The following is a 25105-nucleotide window of genomic DNA, read 5'->3' on the forward strand; positions in this document are numbered from 1 at the left end:
GCTCATTGCAACCTCTGCCTCCCAGGCTCCAGTGATCCTCCCACCTCAGCCTTCTGGATTGTAATTTTTAAAACAATTCTTTTTCCTCCACTTAAAGAATTCTTTGAAGATACAGGCTATCCCTGGTAGGTCTATATTCCCACCGTCTTGTAAGATTCTCAGTGATTCTCTCCAAGGACTTGGTTTCAGGCCCTGGGGCTCGGCTCCTCATTCTCCCAGATCACTTTCTTCTGGTCTCAGTTACCTCAGGCTAAGGGACTGGACTTAGAGATGACTTCAACACCAGAGGGGTGGCGCAGGCAGTAAGTCCTGCTTTCACTCAGCTGGATCAACAAAAGACACGATATCTGGACTGCATGCCTGTATCTGTCACTTCCTGTATGATCATGGACAGATCACAGTCTTTAAGGCTGTTTCTTCCTCAGTAAAATGAGCAAAATAATAATAGCTACCCTCAGAGACTGTTGTGTAGTTACTGAGAGACGAAGTGAAAGTGCTGCACTCTAATAACCTCCAAAGAACCATGTTAGTTAAATGTGGCACAGAAAAATAGATGAAAAAAAATTAAGTTCCTAATTTAGGAACTTGTTTATACATATTAAATCCTCTCTATTTCTTTCCCAGTCTTTAAACTAACTTCATGCTTAATTCTGCCTCAACCTGCCTTCATCTGCAGGACATTGTCCTCCCCTCTCCATGTCATCTTTTTTTTACCCCCTTCCCAGATCTTATCTCCAGTGAGAGCAAAGCACCATCTTCCTTTCATGACACAATCAACTCGATCTGAGAGTTACAGATCTGATCAAAGCTCACCTCCTCCATTTCCTAGCTGCGTGACTTTGGACTGGTTACTTAAATTCTCAGTGCCTCAGTTTTTTCATTTCTATGGCCTATGTATGTGATGAGGATTAAATGAGACCCTATAACTGTTCCTTTCAATTTCAGTCATCTCCATCTTGACTCTCATTCAGCCTCCCACACATTTAATCGCACTTAGGATGCCTTCTTGTTCACTCAATCATTGTTTCGTTTTCAAGATTTTAAACTTGGAAATCCTCTTATTTGAGTATAACCTCTGGTTCTTCTTCTTTTTTTTCTTTGAGACAGAGTTTTGCTCTTGTTGCCCAGGCTGGAGTGCAATGGCATGATCTCGACTCACTGCAACCTCTGCCTCCCAGTTTCAAGCGATTCTCGTGCCTCAGCCTCCCGAGTAGCTGGGATTACAAGCATGCACTACCATGCCAGACTAATTTTTTGTATTTTTAGTAGAAACAGGGTTTCACCATGTTGGCTAGGCTGGTCTCAAACTCCCGACCTCAGGTGATCCACCTGCCTTGGCCTCCCAAAGTGCTGGGATTACAGGCGTGAGCCACCTTGCCCGGCCAACCTCTGGTTCTTTCAATTCTCTTCCTTCCACCAAACTCACTCTGTCTCTAGCTTGGGTTCCAGCCCCTTGAACCATTCTCATTCTCCCAGACCATCTTTTTCTGGTCTCAGTCACCTCTCCGCCAAGACAGAACTTCGTGGCCAGACGTTTCACTGTGCGCTCACTGCTACTTTGCATTTCTACACTCCCTGTCTCTGGGTGGTCTCCAGGCCCAGATAACCCCCTGCTTACTGTTTTAACTTCCAAATGTCCAAGTTTGCAGGAGAAAAAGTCCTTCCCTCTTATGCTATGGGACCACTCTCATTACCAGAAAGCCTCTCTGCCTCTCCTTGGCCTCCTGCTGTCATGGCTGAGGAAGAATCATCCCCTTCCTTGCCAACAGTGTCCTCTGACTCTCACCCCAGAGCACTACCTCCAGGCTTTGCTCCAACCATGATCTTACATTTCATTTGCCTCTTCAGTTGTTCTTTCTACATCTCCTTCCCCTCTGCTTATAATACACTCAGATCTCCTCCATTCTATAGACACCTCAGCTCCACGCCAGATACCACCCTATGCTGACCTATTCCTTCATTAAACTTTTTTTTTTTCAAGACAGAGTCTCACTCTGTCACCCAGGCTGGAGAACAGTGGCACGATCTTGGCTCATTGCAACCTCCACTTCCTGGGTTCAAGTGATTCTCCTGCCTCAGCCTCCCATGTAGCTGGGATTACAGGAGCAAGCCACCATGCCCAGCTAATTTTTGTCTTTTTAGTAGAGACGGGGTTTCACCATGTTGGGCAGTCTGGTCTCAAACTCCTGACCTCGTGATCCGCCCGCCTCAGCCTCCCAAAGTGCTGGGATTACAGGCATGAGCCACCTTGCTGGCCCATTAAACTCTTTCAAAGGATAATCTATACATGCTCCTCAACCTGCTCACCGACTATTCACTTGTTAATCCCTTGCAATCTGACTTCTACTCCCACCACTCTACTTGATCACCAACCTAACAACCACTAACATGATGACCTCTCGGCTCCCAAATTCAGACGGCAGTCTTCATCCTCTGTCTAGCACTTGCCACCCTGGCCCACCTGTCTTTTTTGAAACACTCTCCTTCCTTGATCTCTACTGCTGCTTTATTGTGGTTTTACCTCTGTCTATTCTCTTCCTCAAGCATGGTGCTCCTCCCTCGACACCACTCACTTGGTGAGCACCTCTACTCTCATGGTTTTGATGGGGCCTTGGCAGACTTTTCCTAAATATCAGAGAGTAAATCTCTTTGGCTTTGTGTGCCAAGAGGCAAAATCAAGGCAATTCTGTAGGTCTTTATATAAACATTTAAAATGTAAAAACTGGCCGGGCACGGTGGCTCATGCCTGTAATCCCAGCACTTTGGGAGACCGAGGTAGGCGGATCACCTGAGGCCAGGAGTTCAAGACCAGCTTGGCCAACATGGAGAAACTCTGTCTCTACTAAAAATACAAAAAATTAGCTGGGTTTGATGGTGTGTGCCTGTAGTCTCAGCTGCTTGGGAGGCTGAGGCACAAGAATCACTTGAACTTGGGAGGCAGAGGTTGCAGTGAGCTGAGGTGGCACCACTGCATTCTAGCCTGGGTGATAGAGTGAGACTCTGACTCAAGAAAAACAAATATATATATATATATATATATATATATATATATATATATATATATATATGTCTCCTGTTTTCAGCTTGCAAGCCATCTAAAAACAGGTAGTTGGTTTGATTTATCCTATGGGCTGTAGTTTGTTGATCCCTAGTTTATTTATTTATTTATTTATTTTATTTATTTATTTATTTTGAGATGGAGTCTCAGTCTGTTGCCCAGGCTGGAGTGCAGTGGCATGATCTCGGCTCACTGCAATCTCCACCTCCCAGGTTCAAGCGATTCTCCTGCCTCAGCCTCCTGAGTAGCTGGGATTACAGGCTCGTGCCACCACATCCGGCTAATTTTTGTATTTTTAGTAGGGGGGGTGGTTTCACCATGTTGGTCAGGCTGGTCTCGAACTCCTGACCTTGTGATCCGCCCACCTCGGCCTCCCAAAGTGCTGGGATTACAGGCATGAGCCACTGCACCTGGCTTGTCGACCCCTAGTTTCAATCACCACCTCTAAAGAGAAAACTCCCCAATTGGTACCTTCTCACCTCTTTCTAGAATTCCTGACCTGTGCTTCTAATTGCCTACAGGGCAGCTATACTTGCTCTCCTACACTCACCTCAAATTTAATATGTTCGAGGCAAAAATTTCTCTCTCCGCAAATCACTTCCTTTTCCTGAATTCCCTATTTTTGCTAGTGGTGCCATAATTCTCTCAGTCACTCAGGTCTAAAATCTGTCACGTCTGCCTTCTTCTTTCTCTCTAAACTATTGGTGGTGTTACTTCCTAAATGTCTCTTGAAAACTTCACCTCTCCTCCAGTCCATAGTCTGTTGTGGTCCAAGCCCCCAGCATCTCTTGCCTGGACAACTGTCACAGGCAAGATGACTTCCTTTTTTCCAGAGTGGAGATAGGGAGAATTCACTGGTCTCCCTATCTCCACTCTGTGCTCCCATCTAATAAGACGGGGGTTTCACCATGTTGGCCAGGCTGGTTTCGAACTCCTGAGCTCAAGGGATCCACCAGCCTCGGCCTCCCAAACTGCTGGGATTACAGGTGTGAGCCACTGCATCAGGCCCTTTAGGAGGTTTTTGATTATTGATTCAGTCTCCCTACTATCGGTCTGTTCAGATTTTCTGTTTCTTCATGATTCAGTTTTGGTGGACTGTGTATTTCTGGGAATTTACCAATTTCTTCTTGGTTATCTAATTTGTTGGCATACAATTGTTCATAATTTTCTCTTAAATTCCTCTTATTTCGGCCGGGCACAGTGGCTCACGCCTGTAATCCCAGCACTTTGGGAGGCCGAGGTGGGTGGATCATGAGGTCAGGAGATCGAGACCATCCTGGCCAACATGGTGAAATCCCGTCTCTACTAAAAATACAAAAATCAGTTGGGCGTGGCGGCGCATGCCTGTAATCCCAGCTACTCGGAAGGCTGAGGCAGGAGAACAGCTTGAACCCGGGAGGCGTAGGTTGCAGTGAGCGGCGATCGCACCACTGCACTCCAGCCTGGTGACAAAGCTAGACTCCATCTCAAAAAAAAAAACAAAAACAAACAAAAAAAACCCTCTTATTTCTGTGACATTTGTTATAATGTCTCTTTCTTTTCTTCTCTTCTCTTCTTTCTCTTCTCTTCTTTTTTTTTTGATACAAAGTCTCTGTTACCCAGGCTGGAGTGCAGTGGCATGATCTTGGCTCATTGCAGCCTCCGCCTCCTGGATTCTCTCTCTTCAGCCTCCCGAGTAGCTGGGATTACAGGCACCCGCCACCACGCCCAGCTAATCTTTGTATTTTTAGTAGAGATGGGGTTTCACCATGTTGGCCAGGCTGGTCTTGAACTCCTGGCCTAGTGATCCGCCCGCCTTGGCCTCCCAAAGTGCTGGAAATGCAGGTGTGAGCCACTGCTCCCAGGCTTCCTCTTTCATTTCTGATTTTAGTTAGAATCTTTCCTCTTTTTTTCTTAATCTAGCTAAGCATTTGTCAATTTTGTGGATCTTTTCAAAAAACAAACTCAGTTTTATTGATTTTTTCTATTGTTTTTCTATTTCATTTATCTCTGCTCTAATCTTTAATATCTCCTTCCTTTTGATAGCTTTAGGTTTAGTTTGTTCTCCTTTTTCTAGTTTTATGAGGTGTAAAGTTAGGCTGTTTATTTGAGATCTTTCTTTAATGTACGCATTTACAGCTATAAACTTTTCTGTTGGTACTGCTTTTGTTGCATCCCATAAGTTTTGGTATGTTGTGTTTTTATTTTCGTTTGCTTCAACGTATCTTCTAATTTCCCTTGTGACTTCTTTTTAAAAAAATTTCAATAGCTTTAGGGGCACAAATGGTTTTTGGTAACATGAATGAATTATATAGTGGTGAAGTCTGACATTTTAGTGCACCCATTACCCGAGTAGTGTACATTGTACCCAATATGCATATTTTTATCCCTCACCCCTCTCACCATCCCCCTTTCCGAGTCTCCAATGTCCCTTATACCACTCTGTACGCTTTTGTGTACCTATAGCTTAGCTTTCACTTAATGGCCTCCAGCTCCATCCAAGTTACTGCAAAAGACATTATTGTGTTCATTTTTTATGGCTGAGTATTCCACGGTGTATGCCACATTATCTTTATCCACTCATTGGTTGATGGGCACTTAGGTTGGTTCCATATCCTTCCAATTGTGAATTGTGCTGTGATAAACATATGTGTGCAGGTGTCTTCTTTGATATAATGACTTCTTTTCCTCTGGGTAGATACCCAGTAGTGGGATTGCTGGATTGAATGGTAGATTCTTTTAGTTCTTTGAGAAATCTCCATACTGTTTTCCATAGGAATTGTACTATTTTACATTCCTACCAGCAATGTATAAATGTTCCCTTTTCATCACATCCATGCCAACATCTATGGGATTACAGGCGCACTCCACCATGCCTGGCTTGCAAGCTGTCCAGAAACAGGTGGTGGGTTTGATTTGGCCTGTGGGCTATAATTTTTCGATCCTTTGTTTTTCGGTTTTTAAATAATGGCAATTCTGGGCCAGGTGTGGTGGCTTACGCCTGTAATCCTAGCGCTCTGGGAGGCTGAGGCAGGTGGATCACCTGAGGTCAGGAGTTCGAGACCAGCCTGGCCAACATGGTGAAACCCCATCTCTACTAAAAATACACAAGTTAGCTGGGCATGGTGGCGAGCGCCTGTAATTCCAGCTATTGGGAGGCTGAGACAGGAGAATTACTTGAACCCGGGAGGTGGAGGTTGCAGTGAGCTGAGACTGTGCCACTGCACTCCAGCCTGGGAGACAAGAGTGAAGCTCCATCTCAAAACAAACAAACAAACAAACAAACAAACAAACAAAGAAAAAAATGGCAATTCTGGCTGGAGTTAGGTAGTATCTTATTGTGGTTTTAATTTGCATTTCCCTGATGATTAGTGATGTTGAACATTTTTTCATATGTTTCTTGGCCATTTGTATATCTTCATTTGAGAAACATCTATTCATGTCATTTGCCCACTTTTTGATATGATTATTTGTTTTTTTTTTCTTGCTGATTTATTTGAGTTCCTTGCAGATTTCTGGATATTAGTCCTTTGTCGGATGTACAGTTTGCAAATATTTTCTCCCATTCTGAGGGTTGTCTGTTTATTCTGATTTCTTTTGCTGTAGCACGTTTTTTTATTTTTTTATTTTTATTTTTATTTTTTTAGTATTTATTGATCATTCTTGGGTGTTTCTCGTAGAGGGGGATTTGGCAGGGTCATAGGACAACAGTGGAGGGAAGGTCAGCAGATAAACATGTGAACAAAGGTCTCTGGTTTTCCTAGGCAGAGGGCCCTGCCGCCTTCTGCAGTGTTTGTGTCCCTGGGTACTTGAGATTAGGGAGTGGTGATGACTCTTAACGAGCATGCTGCCTTCAAGCATCTGTTTAACAAAACACATATTGCACCGCCCTTAATCCATTTAACCCTTAGTGGACACAGCACATGTTTCAGAGAGCACGGGGCTGGGGGTAAGGTTATAGATTAACAGCATCCCAAGGCAGAAGAATTTTTCCCAGCACAGAACAAAATGGACTCTCCTATGTCTACTTCTTTCCACACAGACACAGTAACAATCCGATCTCTCTTTCTTTTCCCCACACTTCCCCCCTTTCTATTAGACAAAACCGCCATCGTCATCATGGCCCGTTCTCAATGAGCTGTTGGGTACACCTCCCAGACGGGGTGCCGGCCGGGCAGAGGGGCTTCTCACTTCCCAAACGGGGTGGCCGGGCAAAGGCGCCCCCCCACCTCCCAGACGGGGCGGCTGGCCGGGCGGGGTCTGCCCCCCACCTCCCGGATGGGGCGGCTGGCCGGGCGGGGGCTGCCCCCCACCTCCCGGATGGGGCGGCTGGCCGGGCGGGGTCTGCCCCCCACCTCCCGGATGGACTGGGCGGCTGGCCGGGCGGGGTCTGCCCCCCACCTCCCGGACGGGGCGGCTGCCGGGCGGAGATGCTCCTCACTTCCCAGACGGGGCGGCTGCTGGGCGGAGGGCCTCCTCACTTCTCAGAGGGGGCGGCCGGTCAGAGACGCTCCTCACCTCCCAGACGGGGTGGCGGCGGGGCAGAGACACTCCTCAGTTCCCAGACGGGGTCGCGGCCGGGCAGAGGCGCTCCCCACATCCCAGAGGATGGATGGCCGGGCAGAGACGCTCCTCACTTCCTAGACGGGATGACGGCGGGGAAGAGGCGCTCCTCACTTCCCAGACTAGGCGGCCGGGCAGAGGGGCTCCTCACATCCCAGACGGGGTGGCGGCCGGGCAGAGGCTGCAATCTCGGCACTTTGGGAGGCCAAGGCAGGCGGCTGGGAGGTGGAGGTTGTAGCGAGCCGAGATCACACCACTGCACTCCAACCTGGGCAACATTGAGCACTGAGTGAGCAAGCCTCCCTCTGCAATCCCGGCACCTCGGGAGGCCGAGGCTGGCAGATCACTCGCAGTCAGGAGCTGGAGACCAGCCCGGCCAACACGGCGAAACCCCGTCTCCACCAAAAAATACAAAAACCAGTCAGGCATGGCGGCGCGCGCCTGCAATCCCAGGCACTCGGCAGGCTGAGGCAGGAGAATCAGGCAGGGAGGTTGCAGTGAGTCGAGATGGCGGCAGTACAGTCCAGCCTTGGCTCAGCATCAGAGGGAGACCGTGCAAAGGGGTGTGGGAGAGGGAGGAGGGAGATGGAGAGGGAGAGGGAGAGGGAGAGGGAGAGGGAGAGGGGGAGGGGGAGGGGGAGGGGGAGGGGGAGGGGCACAAGTTTTTTAGTTTAATTAGGTCTCATTTATTTATTTTTGCTTCTGTTGCACTTACTTTTGAGGTCTTAGTCATAAATTCTTTGCCAAGGCCTATGTCCAGAAGAGTTTTTCCTAGGTTTTCTTCTAGAATTTTTTTTTTTTTTTGTTAGATGGAGTTTCGCTCTTGTTGCCCAGGCTGGAGTGTGATGGTGCAATCCCCGGCTCACCGCAAACTCCGCCTCCCGGGTTCAAGCCGTTCTCCTGCCTCAGCCTCCCGAGTAGCTGGGAATACAGGCATATGCCACCACACCTGGCTAATTTTGTATTTTTAGTAGAGATGGGGTTTCTCCATGTTGGTCAGGGTGGTCTCAAACTCCCAACCTCAGATGATCCGCCCACGTCAGCCTCCCAAAGTGCTGGGATTACAGGCGTGAGCCACCGTGCCTGGTGGTTTTCTTCTAGAATTTTTATGGTGTCAGGTCTTAGATTTATGTCTTTAATTCATCTCGAGTTGACTTTTGTGTATGGTGAGAAATAGGCGTCCAGTTTCATTCTTGTACATGTGGCTATCCAGTTTTCCCAGCACCATTTATTGAATAGGGTATCCTTTCCCCAGTTTATGTTCTTGTATGCTTTGTTGAAGATCCACTGGTTGTATGTAAATATTTGGCTTTATTTCTGGGTTCTCTATTTTGTTCCATTGGTCTATGTATCTAGCTTTATACCAGTACGACGCCGTTTTGGTTACTATAGCCTTGTAATATAATTTGAATTCAGGTAATGTGATGCCTCCAGATTTATTATTTTTGCTTAGAATTGCTTTGTCTATTCAGGCTCTTTTTTGGCTCCATATAAATTTCAGGAGTTTTTTTTTCTTTTCTTTTTCTTTCTTTTTTTTTTTTTTGAGACAGGGTCTCACTCTGTTACCCAAACTGGGGTGCAGTGGTATGCCCATGGTTCACTGTAGCCTCAACCTTCTGGGCTCAAGCCAGCTTCCCACCTCAGCCTCCTGAGTAGCTGGGACACCAGGCACATGCTACCATGCCCAGCTAATTTTTAAATTTTTTGTAGTGATGGGGTCTTGTTTTGTTGCCCAGGCTGGTCTTGAACTCCTGGGCTCAAGGGACTCTCCTGCCTCAGCCTTCCAAAATGCTGGGATTACAGGCATAAGCTACTGCACCTGGCCTCTTTTTCTAATTTTCTGAAAAATGATTTTGGTATTTTGATAGGAGTTGCATTGAATTTGTAGATTGCTTTGGACAGTCAGTATGGTCACTTTCACAATATCGATTCTTTTTTTTTGAGACAGAGTCTCACTCTGTAGCTCAGGCTGGAATGCAATGGTGCGATCTTGGCTCACTGCAACCTCTGCCTCCTGGGCTTAAGCGATCCTCCCACCTCAGTCTCCTGAATAGCTGGGATCACAGGCACATGCGACCGCACTCAGCTAATTTTTGTATTTTTTGTAGAGACAGGGTTTCACCATGTTGCCTAGGCTGGTCTCGAACTCCAGGGCTCAAGAAATCCACCTGCCTTGGCCTCCCAAAGTGCTGGGATTACAGGCGTGAGCCACTGCACCCAGCCTAGATTCTTCCAATCCATGAGCGTGGGATGTATTTCCACTTGTTTTTGTCATCTTTGATTTCTTTCAGCAGTGTCTTGTAGTTCTTCTAGAGATCTTTCACCTCCTTCCCAAAGGAAATGAAATCACCACCTCATAAAGATATCTTCACTCCCATGTCCATTGCAGCATTATTCACAATAGCCAAGATATGGAAACAACCTAAGTTGATTTTCTTTATCTATTTTCACACACACACACACACACACACAAACACACACACACACGAATATTATTCAGCCTTAAAAAAGGAGATCCTGCCATTTGCCACATCATGGATAGACCTGGAGTACATTATACTAAGTGAAGTAAACCAGACACAGAAATAAAAATATAGCATGAGCTCACTTACATGTAGAATCTTAAAAAAGGTCAAATATATATATAGAGAGAATACAATAGTAGTTACCAGGGGTAGGGTAGGGAGAAAGGGAGGAAATGGGGGAATGTAGGCAAAAGATTTTAAAGTAGCAGTTACATAAGATGAACAAGTCTAGAGGCCTAAGGTACAACATGAGACTAGAGTTAATAAAATTGTATATATTAGGGATTTTTATTAAATAAGTAGATTTTTAGCTGCTCTTGTCACAAAAAAGTAACTGTGTGAAGTGATAACGTTCATTTGCTTCACTATAGTAACCATCTTATTATCTATATGTATTCCATAACATCATGTTGTAAACCTCAAATATATACAATAAAACTTATTAAAAAATATTCTATCTGAAGAAGGTGGGATTCACAATAGTGGTGAGTTAGCATACTTCATTGATCCTAATATACACTTTTTAAAAAAATTATGTCTCTGAAATCAGAATGCTTCTGACAGTCAGTGATGACAGTTGGCCATTTGATATTTTAGTGATCAGGTTGTCATTGCCTGTGCATGAAATCCCCTTAAAAGATCAAGAAAGCATCTTCATTGAAAGTGTGCAGATGGGATCTCAGCAGCTTGGAAGGAAATCCTGGAACCAACAGTGAAACAGTCTTTCAATAAATGATGTACCACCAAAGGATAGCATAGGGTGCAGATCCAGCAACGCAGACAACGCTAATGTAAAAAAGGATTCAGAAGAGTTCTACGCTAAATATAAAGAACTTCTAGAAATAAATTCACTGATTTATTTTGCTTATGTGGACTAATACATTTAAAAAATGTATGCACAGAAGAGATCTACAGTTAAGTAAATATAAATGAGATATTTCAATAAAAACAAAATAAAAATTCTCCAAATTATAAGAAAAAATAATCTAACTATTGACCCAGTTACACTACTCTAGGGAATTTAGCCTCAGGAAATTGCTTAAAAGAAAAAAAATTCTCTATGTACAAAGAAATTTGATCACAGCAGTATAATTTATAAAAGCAAAAAACCTGGTAACAACTTCAGTATTCAACAATGATAAGAGCTACTAATATCTGTTGAAACTTTAATATATCCCTGGTCCTCTACATACATTATGTCATTTGATAATCATCATGGCCACATGAGATAGATACTGATAGGGTTTGGCTCTGTGTCCCCACCCAAATCTCATCTTGAATTGTAATCCCCATAATCCCCATGTGTCAAGGACAAAGCCTGGTGGGAGGTGATTGGATCATGTGGGCGGTTTCCCCCATACTGTTCTCGTGGTAGTGAGTGAGTTCTCACGAGATCTGATGGTTTTATGTGTCTGACAGTTCCTCCTTCACACACTTGCTCTTTCTCACCTGCCACCATGTAAGACATGCCTCTTCCCCTTTCACCATAATTGTAAGTTTCCCGAGGCTTCCCCAGCCATGCAGAACTGTGAGTCAGCTAAGCATCTTTTCTTTATAAATTATCCAGTCTTGCAGTTCTTTATAGCCATGTGAGAATGGACTAATACAGATACTAATCTTATCCCTATTTTATTTTTATTTTTATTTTTATTTTTTGAGATGCAGTCTTGCTCTGTCGCCCAGGCTGGAGTGCAGTGGCGTGATCTCAGCTCACTGCAACCTCTGCCTCCTGAGTTCAAGTGATTCTCATGCCTCAGCCTCCTGAGTAGCTGAGATTACAGACGTGTGCCACCACACCTGGCTAATTTTTGTATTTTTAGTAGAGATGGAGTTTCACCATGTTGGCCAGGCTGGTCTTGAACATCTGACCTCAGGTGATCCTCTCGCCTCAGCCTCCTAAAGTGCTGGGATAACAGGCGTGAGCCACTGCACCCAGCCCTTATCCCCATTTTATATACAAGGCACAGATACGTTATAACTTGCTCAAGGTCACAGAGGTAATAAGTAGGTTGTAGAATCAGGACTTAAACTGATATGGGTTTATATAGATCCAAACTTGTGCTATGCAACTAATAGAAAACACAGTATGTTGCAATAATAAATATGCTGCCCAATTCTGAGCAGAAAAAAGGTAGAATAGATTTGTATATATGCTATAATCACAATTATGTAAAATATGTGTATGAAAGGTTCAAAACTTAAGAAGTCTACAAAATATCTAGAGACACATTGCTGCAGAACATGAATGCCCAAGCTTGGTATCTGGGGACCAGTGGATCTAGTGACTCTGAACCTTTTCTGGGTTATAGGACCCGTATTAGTCAGCTCAGGCTGCCATAATAAAATACCACAGGCTGGGTGGCTTGAACGAAGGAAATTTTTCTCACAATTCTGGAGGCTAGAAGTCCAAGATCAAGGTGCCAGCAATTAGGTTCCTGGTGAGGGTCTTCTTTCTGGCTTGCAGACAGTCACCTTCTCACTATGTCCTTAAAGGGGTGGTGGGGAGAGAGATAGAGAGACAGAGAGACAGAGAGAGAGAGAGATAGCACTCTGGTGTCTCTTCTTCTTCTAAGGGCACCAGTCTTATTGGATTAGGCCTCACCCTCATTTAACCTTAGTTACCTCCCTAAGGGCCCTGTCTCCAAATACAGTCACATCGGAGGTTAATATTTAGACGTATGAATTTTGGGGAAACACAGTTCAGTCCATAACAGGAACTCTTTGAGAATGAGATGAAAGCTCTATACCCTCTCCCTAGGAGACTGCAAACACCACCTCCCACAACTCTGCACACAATTTCAGAAAAGTTCATGGACCTCAGGTTGAGAAGCACTGTTTCAGGCCACCTTTCTGTTTTCACAGATGGAGAAATGGAGGTTTTGTAAGGGGAAGTGATTTTCAGTAGGTTAGGAGAGAGCCAGGTCTTTTGATTCCTCGTCTAGCGCTTGTCCTACCTTACTCTGCCATCTGTTGTGCCTGTACAGAACTGCACAATAGCCAGAGACAACCATCCTGGGTGACCCCAGCACACCACAGGTCCTCTGGATGGAGTAAAGACAATAGCTGCTCCTTCACCCAAGATGCTCTCATGGGTTAATCTGGCTCTAGCTGTAACTGACAGCAAATGGGATGTATTGTAGTGCTTAGAACTAGTCAAGAGGTTGGGAAGAAGCTGCACCAACTTTGATATCAATCCACATGAGGCCTGCGTATGAGGAGATAGAGTGGTTTCTGCCCTGCTGAAGGACAAAATGGAGACTGCGGAGGTGCAGCCTTGAACTATCTGGTGGCCTTGACGTGGCACTGCCCCTCCAGCTCTTAGATTCCTCACTTGCACACTGACCATGAGTTGGCCTGTTAAATTTCTCCAAGAGTTCTTCTAGTTCCAATATTCTGTACTTCTATGATCTTAGAGCAGGAACCATGGAGAAAAAAAATCAGTTGAGGTGTTTGGGTCCTAGCATTATGGGCAAAATAATTTTTTCCCTCAAATTTCTTCTAATGGTATGATAGAATTAGCAATAAAGAAAATGTAGTCTAAAGGGATGAAAAAGGCTGGGTGTGCTGCCTCACACCTGGAATTCCAGCACTTTGGAAGGCTGAGGTAGGAGGATGGCTTAAGCCCAGGAGTTCGAGGCTGGAGTGAGCTATGAGCATGTCACTGCACTCCAGCCTAGGTGATAGGGTGGGACCCTGTCTCAAAAAAAAAAAAAAAAAATGTAGTTGGAAAAGATGAAAAATCCCTAATGAGAATCTGAGAAGACCCTTTACTTAAGTAGTAAAGTAAAGTTTCAACATAAGTGGTTCCTTGATTTCTGCTTCTCACTCAACCTTAAGTAAGTCCTTACAGTTGCTGGACTTCTAAATAATGGAATCAGGGAATGGAGTGGTACTTATCATGAAAATTGCTATTTATCTCTAGGCAGAGGGGTGGCTCCCAGAACCAGTAATAGTTTTGTGTGTGTGTGTGTGTGTGTGTGTGTGTGTGTGTGTGTGTGTTTTGGAGACGGGGTCTCACTTTGTCATCCAGTCTAGAGTGCAGTGGTGATCTCGGCTCACTGCCAGGCTCTACCTTCCAGGCTCAAGCGATCCTCCCACCTCAGCCCCACAAGTGGCTGGGACTACAGGCATGTGGCACCACACCTGTCTAATTTTTTTGTATTTTTCATAGAGACAGGGTTTTGCCATGTTGGCCAGGCTGGTCTTGAACTCCTGAGCTCAAGCGATCTGCCCGCCTTGGCCTCCCAGACAGGCATGAGCCACTGAGCCTGGCCCCAGAGAATAGTTTTTATTTCATTTCATCAATTGATGAAATAAATAATCCCAACATTCGTCCTACTTGACCCTATTAATGCCATAAACCAGTGTGGAGCCTTCACTCAAGCCACCCTCAGGGAGTACAAGGCTAGAAACAAAAGCAGGGGAAACTCATCCTGGGATGGAGGTTGACTTTTTAGGAAAATGCCTCTGGCTTTATTCACAACAATAAGGCCCCAAAGGGCTGCACAGTCCAGCCTGCTATCTCTCTGTTTGTCAGGGCCCCGTGCTTTGTGTAGCACATCAGTGGTCTTAGTTGGGCCTGAGGAGAAGAAACAGGAAGAAAAGAGTTGCTGGGGAAAGCAGCTGGCAAGGTTGGCGTTAGGATGGAAGTGCCAAACAGGCAAAGGAGATGCAGCCCATCAGAAGGATTGCCAACACTGCTTCCATTTTAATTGGCACAAATGGCCCTTTCAATCCCAGCAGCTAACAGTAGAGAAGAGGAGAAACTCAAAAGGCATGAGATCACTAGCTGCCTCCACTTGCATCCCAGCAAACAGCTTAAAACGGCACTGCCCTCACCTGGTCAAATTCATGTATTACATTGAAGGCACATGTTTTTAGATTTTTTTTTTGGTCATTTCTTTTTCTCCAGTTCTTGGTCCTCCACCTCTGAGAATAAGTGGATGGGGAGGTGACAAATCTCCCCTGAGAAAATGTACCAAGTGCATGGGATTCCAGCACAAAGTCACAAACTGTGAATGAAAACTTACCACCCAAATATAAAATACTTACCAAAACATCGAAATTAATATCCCAATTATGTAAGCATCACTCCTATGATGTTTAGTGAAATCTATGAGAATATGAAAATAAAACTATTTTTATCAATAAACTGATATTACTACTCTCAAAGAGATCTGCTATAAATAGAGAAAATAATTTTGGTTATCCTTCTGGTTATAAAATACTTGACTGTTTAATGCAATGTTACTTCCCTTACCACTATTTTTTCTCTGCTTATGGCAGTAAGTAACATACAGAAAGAAAACATCACAATCTATGTGCGTAGTTTAATAAATAATTATCAAGTGCACCTGTATGGGAACTCCACTAGGCAGTCCCCCAGTAGGGACTCTGTGTGGTGGCTCCGACTCCACATTTCCCTTCTGCACTGCCCTAGCAGAGGTTCTCCACAATGCTCCCCCTGCAGCAAACTTTTGCCTGAGCATCCAGGCGTTTCCATACATCTTCTGAAATCTAGGCAGAGGTTCCCAAACCTCAATTCTTGACTTCTGTGTAGCCGCAGGCTCAATACCTCATGGAAGCTGCCAAGACTTGGGGCTTCCACCTTCTAAGGCCACAGCTTGAGCTCTGCATTGGCCCCTTTCAGCCATGGCTGGAGTGGCTGGGCACCAAGTTCCTAGGCTGCACACTGCATGGGAACCCTGGGCCCAGCCCACAAAACCACTTTTTCCTCTTGGGCCCCTGGGCCTGTGATGGGAGGGGCTGCCTTGAAGTTCTCTGACATGGCCTGGAGACATTTTCCCCAGGGTCTTGGGGATTAACATTAGTCTCCTTGCTCTTTATGCAAATTTCTGCAGCCGGCTTGAATTTCTCCTCAAAAAAAGGAGTTTTTCTTTTCTACTTAACTGTCAGGCTGCAAATTTTCTGAACTTTTATGCTGTTTCTCTTTTATTTGTTTATTTATTTATTTTTATTATACTTTAAGTTCTAGGGTACATGTGCACAACATACAGGTTTGTTACATATATATACATGTGCCATGTTGGTGTGCTACACCCATTAACTCATCATTTACATTAGTTATATCTCCTAATGCTATGCCTCCCCCCTTCCCCCACCCCAAGACAGGCCCTGGTGTGTGATGTTCCCCACCCTGTATTCAAGTGTTCTCATTTTTCAATTCCCACCTATGGGTGAGAACATGTGGTGTTTGGTTTTCTGTCCTTACTATAGTTTGCTCAGAATGATGGTTTCCAGCTTCATCCATGTCTCTACAAAGGACATGAATGCATCCTTTTTTATGGCTACATAGTATTCCATGGTGTATATGTGCCACATTTCCTTAATCCAGTCTATCATTGATGGACACTTGGGTTGGTTCCAAGTCTTTGTTATTGTGAATAGTGCCGTAATAAACATATGTCAGCATGTGTCTTTATAGAAGCATGATTTATAATCCTTTGGATATATACCCAGTAATGGGATGGCTGGGTCAAATGGTATTTCTAGTTCTAGATCCCTGAGGAATCGCCACACTGTCTTCCACATGTTTGAACTAGTTTACAGTCTCACCAACAGCATAAAAGTGTTCCTATTTCTCCACATCCTCTCCAGCACCTGTTGCTTCCTGACTTTTTAATGATTGCCATTCTGACTGGTGTGAGATGGTATCTCATTGTAGTTTTGATTTGCATTTCTCTGATGGCCAGTGATGATGAGCATTTTTTCATGTGTCTGTTAGCTGCATAAATGTCTTCTTTTGAGAAGTGACTGTTCATATCCTTCACCCAGTTTTTGATGGGGTTTTTTGATTTTTTCTTGTAAATTTGTTTAAGTTCTTTGTAGATTGTGGATATTAGCCCTTTATCAGATGGGTAGATTGTAAAAATTTTCTCACATTCTGTAGGTTGCCTGTTCACTCTGATGGTAGTTTCTTTTGCTGTGCAGAAGCTCTTTAGTTTAATTAGATACCATTTGTCAATTTTGGCTTTTATTGCCATTGCTTTTGGTGTTTTAGTCGTGAAGTCCTCACCCATGCCTATGTCCTGAATGGTATTACCTAGGTTTTCTTCTAGGGTTTTTATCGTTTTTGGTCTAATATTTAAGTCTTTAATCCATCTTGAATTAATTTTTGTATAAGGTGTAAGCAAGGGATCCAGTTTCAGCTTTCTCCATATGGCTAGCCAGTTTTCCCAGCACTATTTATTAAATAGGGAATCCTTTCCCCATTTCTTGTTTTTGTCAGGTTTGTTAAAGATCAAATTGTTGTAGATGTGTGGTATTATTTCTGAAGGCTCTGTTCTGTTCCATTGGTCTGTATCTCTGTTTTGGTACCAGTACCATGCTGTTTTGGTTACTGTAGCCTTGTAGTATAGTTTGAAGTCAGGTAGTGTGATGTCTCCAGCTTTGTTCTTTTGGCTTAGGATTGTCTTGGCAATGTGGGCTCTTTTTTGGTTCCATATGAACTTTAAAATAGTTTTTTCCAATTCTGTGAAGTCATTGGTAGCTTGATGGGGATGGCATTGAATCTATAAATTACCTTGGGCAGTATGGCCATTTTCACGATATCGATTCTTCCTATCCATGAGCATGGAATGTTCTTCCATTTGTTTGTATCCTCTTTTATTTCATTGAGCAGTGGTTTGTAGTTCTCCTTGAAGAGATCCTTCACATCCCTTGTAAGTTGGATTCCTAGGTATTTTATTCTCTTTGAAGCAATTGTGAATGGGAATTCACTCATGATTTGGCTCTCTGTGTGTTCTTGGTGTATAGAAATGCTTGTAATTTTTGCACATTGATTTTGTGTCCTGAGACTTTGCTGAAGTTGCTTATGAGCATAAGGAGATTTTGGGCTCAGACGATGGGGTTTTCTAAATATACAGTCATGTCATCTGCAAACAGGGACAATTTGACTTCCTCTTTTCCTAACTGAATGCCCTTTATTTCTTTCTCCTGCCTGATTGCCCTGGCCAGAACTTCCAACACTATGTTGAATAGGAGTGGTGAGAGAGGGCATCCCTGTCTTGTGCCAGTTTTCAAAGGGAATGCTTCAAGTTGCTGTTTCCCTTTTAAAACTGAATGCTTTTAACAGCACGCAAGTCACCTTTTGAATCCTTTGCTGCTTAGAAGTTTCTTCCACCAGATACCCTAAATCATCTCTCTCAAGTTCAAAGTTCCACAAATCTTTAGGGCAGGGGCAAAATGCTGCCAGTCTCTTTGCTAAAACAAAACAAGAGTCAACTTTACTCCAGTTCCCAACAAGTTCCTCATCTCCATCTGAGACCACCTCAGCCTGGACTTTATTATCCATATCACTATCAGCATTTTAGGCAAAGCCATTCAACAAGTCTCTAGGAAGTTCCAAATGTTCCCACATTTTCCTCTCTTCTTCTGAGGCCTTAAAACTGTTCCAATCTCTGGCTGTTACCCAGTTCCAAAGTTGCTCCGATGTTTTCGGGTATCTTTTCAACAGCGCCCCACTCTACTTGTACAAATTTACTGTATTAGTCCATTTTCACACTGCCGATAAAGACATACCCAAGACTGGGAAGAAAAAGGTTTAATTGGGCTTACAGTTCCACGTGGCTGGGGAGGCCTCAGAATCATGGCAGGAGGCAAAAGGTGCTTCTTATGTGGTGGTGGCAAGAGAAAATGAGGAAGAAGCAAAAGCAGAAACTCCTGATAAGCCCATCAGATCTTGTGAGACTTATTCATTATCATGAGAATAGCACTGGAAACGCTGGCCCCCATGATTCAATTACCTTCCCCTGGGTCCCTCCCACAACAGGTAGGAATTCTGGGAGATACAATTCAACTTGAGATTTGAGTGGGGACACAGCCAAACCATATAAAATAGAATAGCAGACAATTAATGAGAAAAAGTTTGAAAAACAAGAGCAACATAAGACCAAGGAAAGTAGAAGGAAATAAGGTAAAAGCAGAAATCAGTGAAAGTGGAAACAAGCATAAGGATCACAAAACCAGAAGTTGGGTGTTTGGAAGAGGAATGAAATTGGTAAAAGTCTTGTGAGACTGGTCAAGAAAACAAGGGAGAAGGGCACCACTATCAGGAAAGAAAAGGGAGAAATAAGCACAAATGATGTTACAACCGTTCTTGTGTTGCTATAAAGAAATACCCAAGACCGAGACATTTATAAAGAGAAGAGCTCATGGTTCTGCAAGCTGTACAGGAAGTGTAGTGGCTACTGCTTCTGGGAGGACTCAGGAAGCTTGCAATCATGGCAGAAGGTGAAACAGGAGCAGGTACATTTTACATGGTAGGAGCAAGAGCAAGAGAGAGCAGGGGGAGGTGTCACACACTTTTAAATGACCAGACTCATGAAAACTCACTCATGACCGTGAGGACAGTACCAAGTGGATGGTGCTAAACCATTCCTGAGAAATCCAGCCCCATGATCCAGTCACCTCCCACCAGGCCCCACCTCCAGCATTAGAAGTCACAGTTTGACACGAGACTTGCTGAGGACACAGATCCAAATCATATGATAGGCAGACATCCAAAAGATAGAAAGAGGATATGGTGGGGGAACTGGATATTCACACGGAGTGCCCATGCAGTAACAGCACATAGCTAATTAAATACAAAGAGAAGATGGCACCTCCACAATGGAGTAATCTGGAACAACGCCCTGGCCACATGGTCAAGATGAACATCACGAGTCATAAGAGAAGCCTACATGGAGAATCTGCTGATGTCATGCACCAAGAAGGACAACACATTTGCTGTGCAGTAGTCTTGTCAAAAATGTTAAACTTACCTGAGTTTAATCACAAGGAAGCCATTTGACAAACCCAAGTTCAAGGGCTTCCTGAAAACAACTGCACTGGTTTAAAGCACATTTTAAACATTGCTTTAAAGCACACTTTAAAGGCCTCTGAAGAGACTTGACGGGCTGGGAACCATGGCTCACGCCTATAATCCCAACATTTTGGGAGACCTAGGCGGGTGGATGGCTTGAGCTCAGGAGTTCCAGACGAGCCTGGGCAACATGGTGAAACTCCGTCTCTACAAAAAGTATTTTAAAAATTAGCTGGGCACGGTGGCGCATGCCTGTAGTCCAAGCTACTCAGGAGGTCCAAGCTGAGGTGGGAGGATGGCTTGAGCCTGGGAGGTCAAGGCTGCAGTGAGTCGGGTTCGTGACACTGCCCACCAGCCTGGGAGACAGAGGGAGACCCTGTCTCAAAAGAGACTTGACAACTAAATGCAAAGTATGATGTTTGGTTGGAAAGAGAATTTTGTTAGAAAGCAGCTATGAGGGATACTATGGGACCATGGGGAAAATCGGAGAATGTTTCATGTGATCATACAGTAGAAAATTGTGTGGTCTCCATGTTACATTTCCTGAGTGTCATGGTGGCATTAAGGTTTTGTGGGAGCCCATGCTTCCTTGCAGGCGATACATGCTGCAGTATTTACCGATGATGGATCTAAATGATTCCAACGGATCTCAAATGATTCCACAAAACAATAAAAAAAAAAAATACACCCACACGCTCAGAAAAAGATGGGGGCGCGGCATGGAGGGAGGGCTGAAGCAAATGTGAGAAAATGGTAACAACTGGAGGATCCAGTAGAAGAATATACGTATGGGTGCTCCTTGTGCTTTCCCTGCAACTCTCCTGTGGCTCCAAAATTTAAACAAATGCAATCTGGGATGAAGGGCGTATTATGGACCATTTTATTCCAGTCAGTTTGAAAACAACGAAAAAGTCACCAATTGCTAGGAAACCAAATCCGCCAAGACTGACACAAGAAGGAACAGCCAACCTGAACCATTCCAGAATCATTACAGAAAGATATGAGTAGTCAAAGTCTTTCTACTAATAAACTCCAGGATTCCCCACCATATTCTGACAAACATCCTAGGAATACATATCTTCCATTTGACACAAACTCGTGCAGAAAATTGAAAGGGAGCAACAATCCTCCACTCACTGTATGAGCTTGGCATAACCTCGATACCAAATCCTGCAAGGACACTTAGAGAAATATTGCAGATAAATCACAGGCTCATGACATAGAAGCAAAAATCAGAACCAGAATCTTAGCACACAGAAGCCTACAGGATATAAAAGGAAAACGCCTAATATGGTATGACTAATATTGGCTTCATCCCAGAAATACAAACTTAATTTCCCTTCAGAAAATACAGTGCTATAATTCTCCACATTAACAGATTTGGGGAGAAAGATACACTTTTTGTAGTCACGAAAAGTATTGACTAAATGTCAATATCAATTCAAGATGTATTGCTGACAATTCTTTTTTTTTTTTCTAAAAAGTCAGGACTATTGGACTATAACTACACACAGTTGTATGGGATTTTGTAAATTCATACTGCTGTGGAAACACCAGCACGGTATATATAGATATAGAGCATCGGCATCCCCCCCAGTTTCCCTCACGCCCTCTGGTAGTGAACTCCTAGTCTTAACCCTCAGACCTTGGCAACCACCAATCTGTTTTCTGTTGCTACAGATTTGCCTTTTCCAGAATGTCATATAAATGGAATCACACGGTATATGCATGTGCATTTGGCTTCCTTCAGAGAAAGACATTCTGATCACAATTCTCTGAAGGTGCAATGTACAGTTTCATAACCTCAGTAGTAGTTACCTGGCTTGATCACCTTACAACTGTTTGTCAGAGGGCCGGCTTCTGAGTTCTCTCTGTAAGTGTGTGTGTATGCGTGGGTGTGTGTGAGAGAGAGTATGTGTGTGTGTGTGTGTATTATGTTTCAAACATATAATTTTACATTTAGCTGCCTCTAACTTTTATATCTTGGTGAGGGTTATTAACTGGGAATTATTAGCCCTGTAAAAGAAAGTGAGTGATTATTGGAAAAGTCAGCACAGTGATTACCTCTGGGGTGTGCAAAGGGGGAGGTAGTGATCGGGTTGGGGCAAACAGGAGGGTTCCAAAACCCTGCCAACCTTCTGTTCCTCGCTCTGCATGGTAGTGACCTGGACTTCAACATTGCACAACCACATGGGCGCCGTTCACGCTGGATCATGAGAACGGAGCACCCTGGAATCCCACAGATAGAGTTTGCATGGCCACCCTGGCGGCCATAGCCTATGCGGCCGTACCTGGCAAACACTGGTGTTGGCCTCATCCTTCAAGGAAAGGGATGATGAGAAAATGTGTGGGGGAAAAGAGGAGTTCTTGGGGTGGAGGTTAAGGACAGATGTGCATGAGGTTGTCCAAGTTCATCCAGGAGTGTGTTCCAGGCAGGCTAAAGTTCATGGCTGTTACTCACCATGACCACTGTGATCCCATGATTGCCATCTCACATCCCTGCGTATGGTGCCCTGGGCCTCGGCCACAGCCTGGAAGGCCACTCTTGGGGACTCTGGCTGGCGGGCGTGTGAGGAGACTCACACACCTTTGGCCCTAGTTGGAGTCTGAAGAGGAGATGGTCTTTTCTGCCCACAGAGTAAGAGGTCTCATCTGGAAATGTACCTGTGGCAGCCCTGGCGCCGGGTGTAGGTGGGATTCTGCTCAGGGCTCTGCCACTGTGGCTGCATCAAGGGCAGGCACTCAGCTCGCCAGACCTCCGGAGCCCGTCTGAGCTGAGTGGCAGGACAAGGCAGGAGAGGGTCTAAGGCTCTCCAGCCCAGACCCCACAATCCTCTTGGTGGGAGAGCAGGCTTGAGGGAAAAGCAAAAGGGGGTCACTGAATAAGGGGAGGTGCTCAACCTCTTCCTCTCCACTGGGGCCCAGATGGATTGCGCTAATCCGAGGAACCTCGGATTCTGCACTTATATCCCCTAGAACTGGAAGGCTCCGCCTGACCATGGCCTGGGGTGTACATGTTACAGCCTCAGTATTGTGTGGGAGGTGGTCTGAATATGGAACCGAGGTGGTGTGCTGAGAGGCGGGGCTGGCAAATCCAGCCACCGGGAGATGGGTTCACGCCTTCCATGACTCTGTCCACGGGTTTCTCCCCTTCCACACTCTGTCGACCACGGCCCATGCCCCCCAGGGCAGTGATAGGGGTGGAGTTCTCACCCCACCAGAACCTGCCTAGATGTCTCCGGTGGCAAAAACCCAAGCTGGAGAGTCCCTGACACACGTCTTCCCCCAGACACCAGCCCACTGTGTTATCCCCCCAAGAAACAAACACCTGTGTCAGGGTCAAAGCCTTGGCCCAAGGAATCAAGCCAACCCTCTCAGGCGAGGGGTTTGATGCGGATGGGGTAGGTCCCCACCACCATTTGTTTACGTCTCTGAGGCCTGTGATTGGCCCTCCATGTGCGTGATGGTCCCACCCCATCCCGGCAGTGAGACACAGTGAGAGTATGTGGGAAGGCAGGTACCGAGCCTGACTAGCTGTCCCAGGGCAGTCCCTCTTTCTGGCTTTCCACCTGCACTGTTCCCACCCTGCCCATGTCAAGTCACAGCACCCTCCCATGGGAGATCCCCGCTTCCTAGATGAAACACCAACCAGCAACTCTGAGGCATTATCACTGCACCCACACACGGGAGTGCTGAGACATCCCATCCATCCTGCAGAGGATCAGGAGCCTACTGTGGTGCCTCCAGCATTCTGAGAGCCCGACACCCATCCCTGTGTTTGGGGATGTCCCATTTGTCCCAGTCTGTGCCCTCCTAGGTGTTAGAATTGAACACCACCTCTTGTCAAAGGTAGATCTCAGCCCTGCTTTTGCGCATTCGATCCTTCACGGATCCTTCACCACTGCCTCCACTCTGTGAATCATCTCTTTCTTGCTCAAGGGAGAGCACCCTCAATTAATTTGATTCCCAAGCAGGTGCATGCAGGGGCATGCTCATGCAGGCGCGCGCACACACACACACACACACACACACACACACACACACACACACTAACCTTGAATGGTATCTGCATTTCTACTGTCTTTGTCTATTCAACACCCAGTCTCTTGGCGATGGGAGCAGGGAGAACCTACACACACCTCCTCACTGGAATCGGAATCTGTGCCCGAATCTGGGGCCCACCCAGTCGAGGATTCCGGCTGAAGGTAGCGGGCGATCCCAACTGTCGGGGAGGGTGAAGGCAGAACAGGGAGCTCGAGGAAATCTCATGTGACCTCGAGAGGCAATCTGGAAGACTGAGTAGGGACATGGAAATATCACATCCACAAAAACCTGCGGCCTTGGGGGTGGTGAAATGATATTTCATGGGGACCATCCAAGAACAGCCAGGCCTAGCATCGACACTTGCCCTGGAAAGCAGCTGGCCATTTTCAAATCAAGGGTATGGAGCCGACCAGCCGCAGAAGGGGCTGTTGGCTGCCTATAGGACGCCAAGGATGTGGAAGCCACCTTCCGTGTAGCTCCCAGCCCACAGTTTCTACCAGGTTGGCCCGCAGGCATCAGAACAGACTCAGTGCCCCGGCCTCCAACCAAGAGATGAACCCGCCCTTTTCTTCAGCGTTCCTTGTACCTTCCCTTTGGCTCCGCCACCCACCAGGAGGTGGCTTCTGCCTCCACCTGGCTACTAAGGAGGAGACCTGACCGGATTTGGTAACTGAGGTTCAAAGGTGAGGGCTAAGAGGAACTGAGGATGCCATGCAGGTTACTGGCCCAGATGACCTGACCGTGTGCATGGTGGCACCGGAGGGACATAACAGCTCCAGAAAGAGGACGGGGCTCCATTGTGTTCCTCAACAGCACAGAAATAATCGTGCAGGAAAGGCCACCCACATGAAGCCACTGGGAGGGCAAAGATGCTTATGATGGAAAGAACGGTGACAGGGCAGAACTGGGACAGTGAACCGCAAGAGGAAAGGTGAGAGAGACAGGGGTTCTAGAAGGAGTCCATCAGTTCCTGCTGAAGGAGAGGGAGAAAAGCACTGAAGAAGGGGACCTGTGACACCCCAAAGTGGGAGGAGAAGAGGAGGGACCATGAGCAGGGTGTGTAGGAGAAAGGCAGGAAATGCTGCTGTGGCCGGGCAGGGCCCCCACAGCACC

The 25105-nt window shown here is 45.5% G+C and overlaps 1 annotated feature.

Moving 5' to 3' along the window:
• Positions 12790-12859: an enhancer, noted in NCBI's record as "active region_29750". NCBI's record gives its function as "activates an Ori minimal core promoter by ATAC-STARR-seq in GM12878 lymphoblastoid cells {active_cell/tissue: GM12878}" and the evidence as "EXISTENCE:reporter gene assay evidence [ECO:0000049][PMID:35858748]".

The sequence above is a fragment of the Homo sapiens genome, chromosome X, assembly GCF_000001405.40.
Source record: "Homo sapiens chromosome X, GRCh38.p14 Primary Assembly".
NCBI classification, from domain to species: Eukaryota; Metazoa; Chordata; class Mammalia; order Primates; family Hominidae; genus Homo; species Homo sapiens.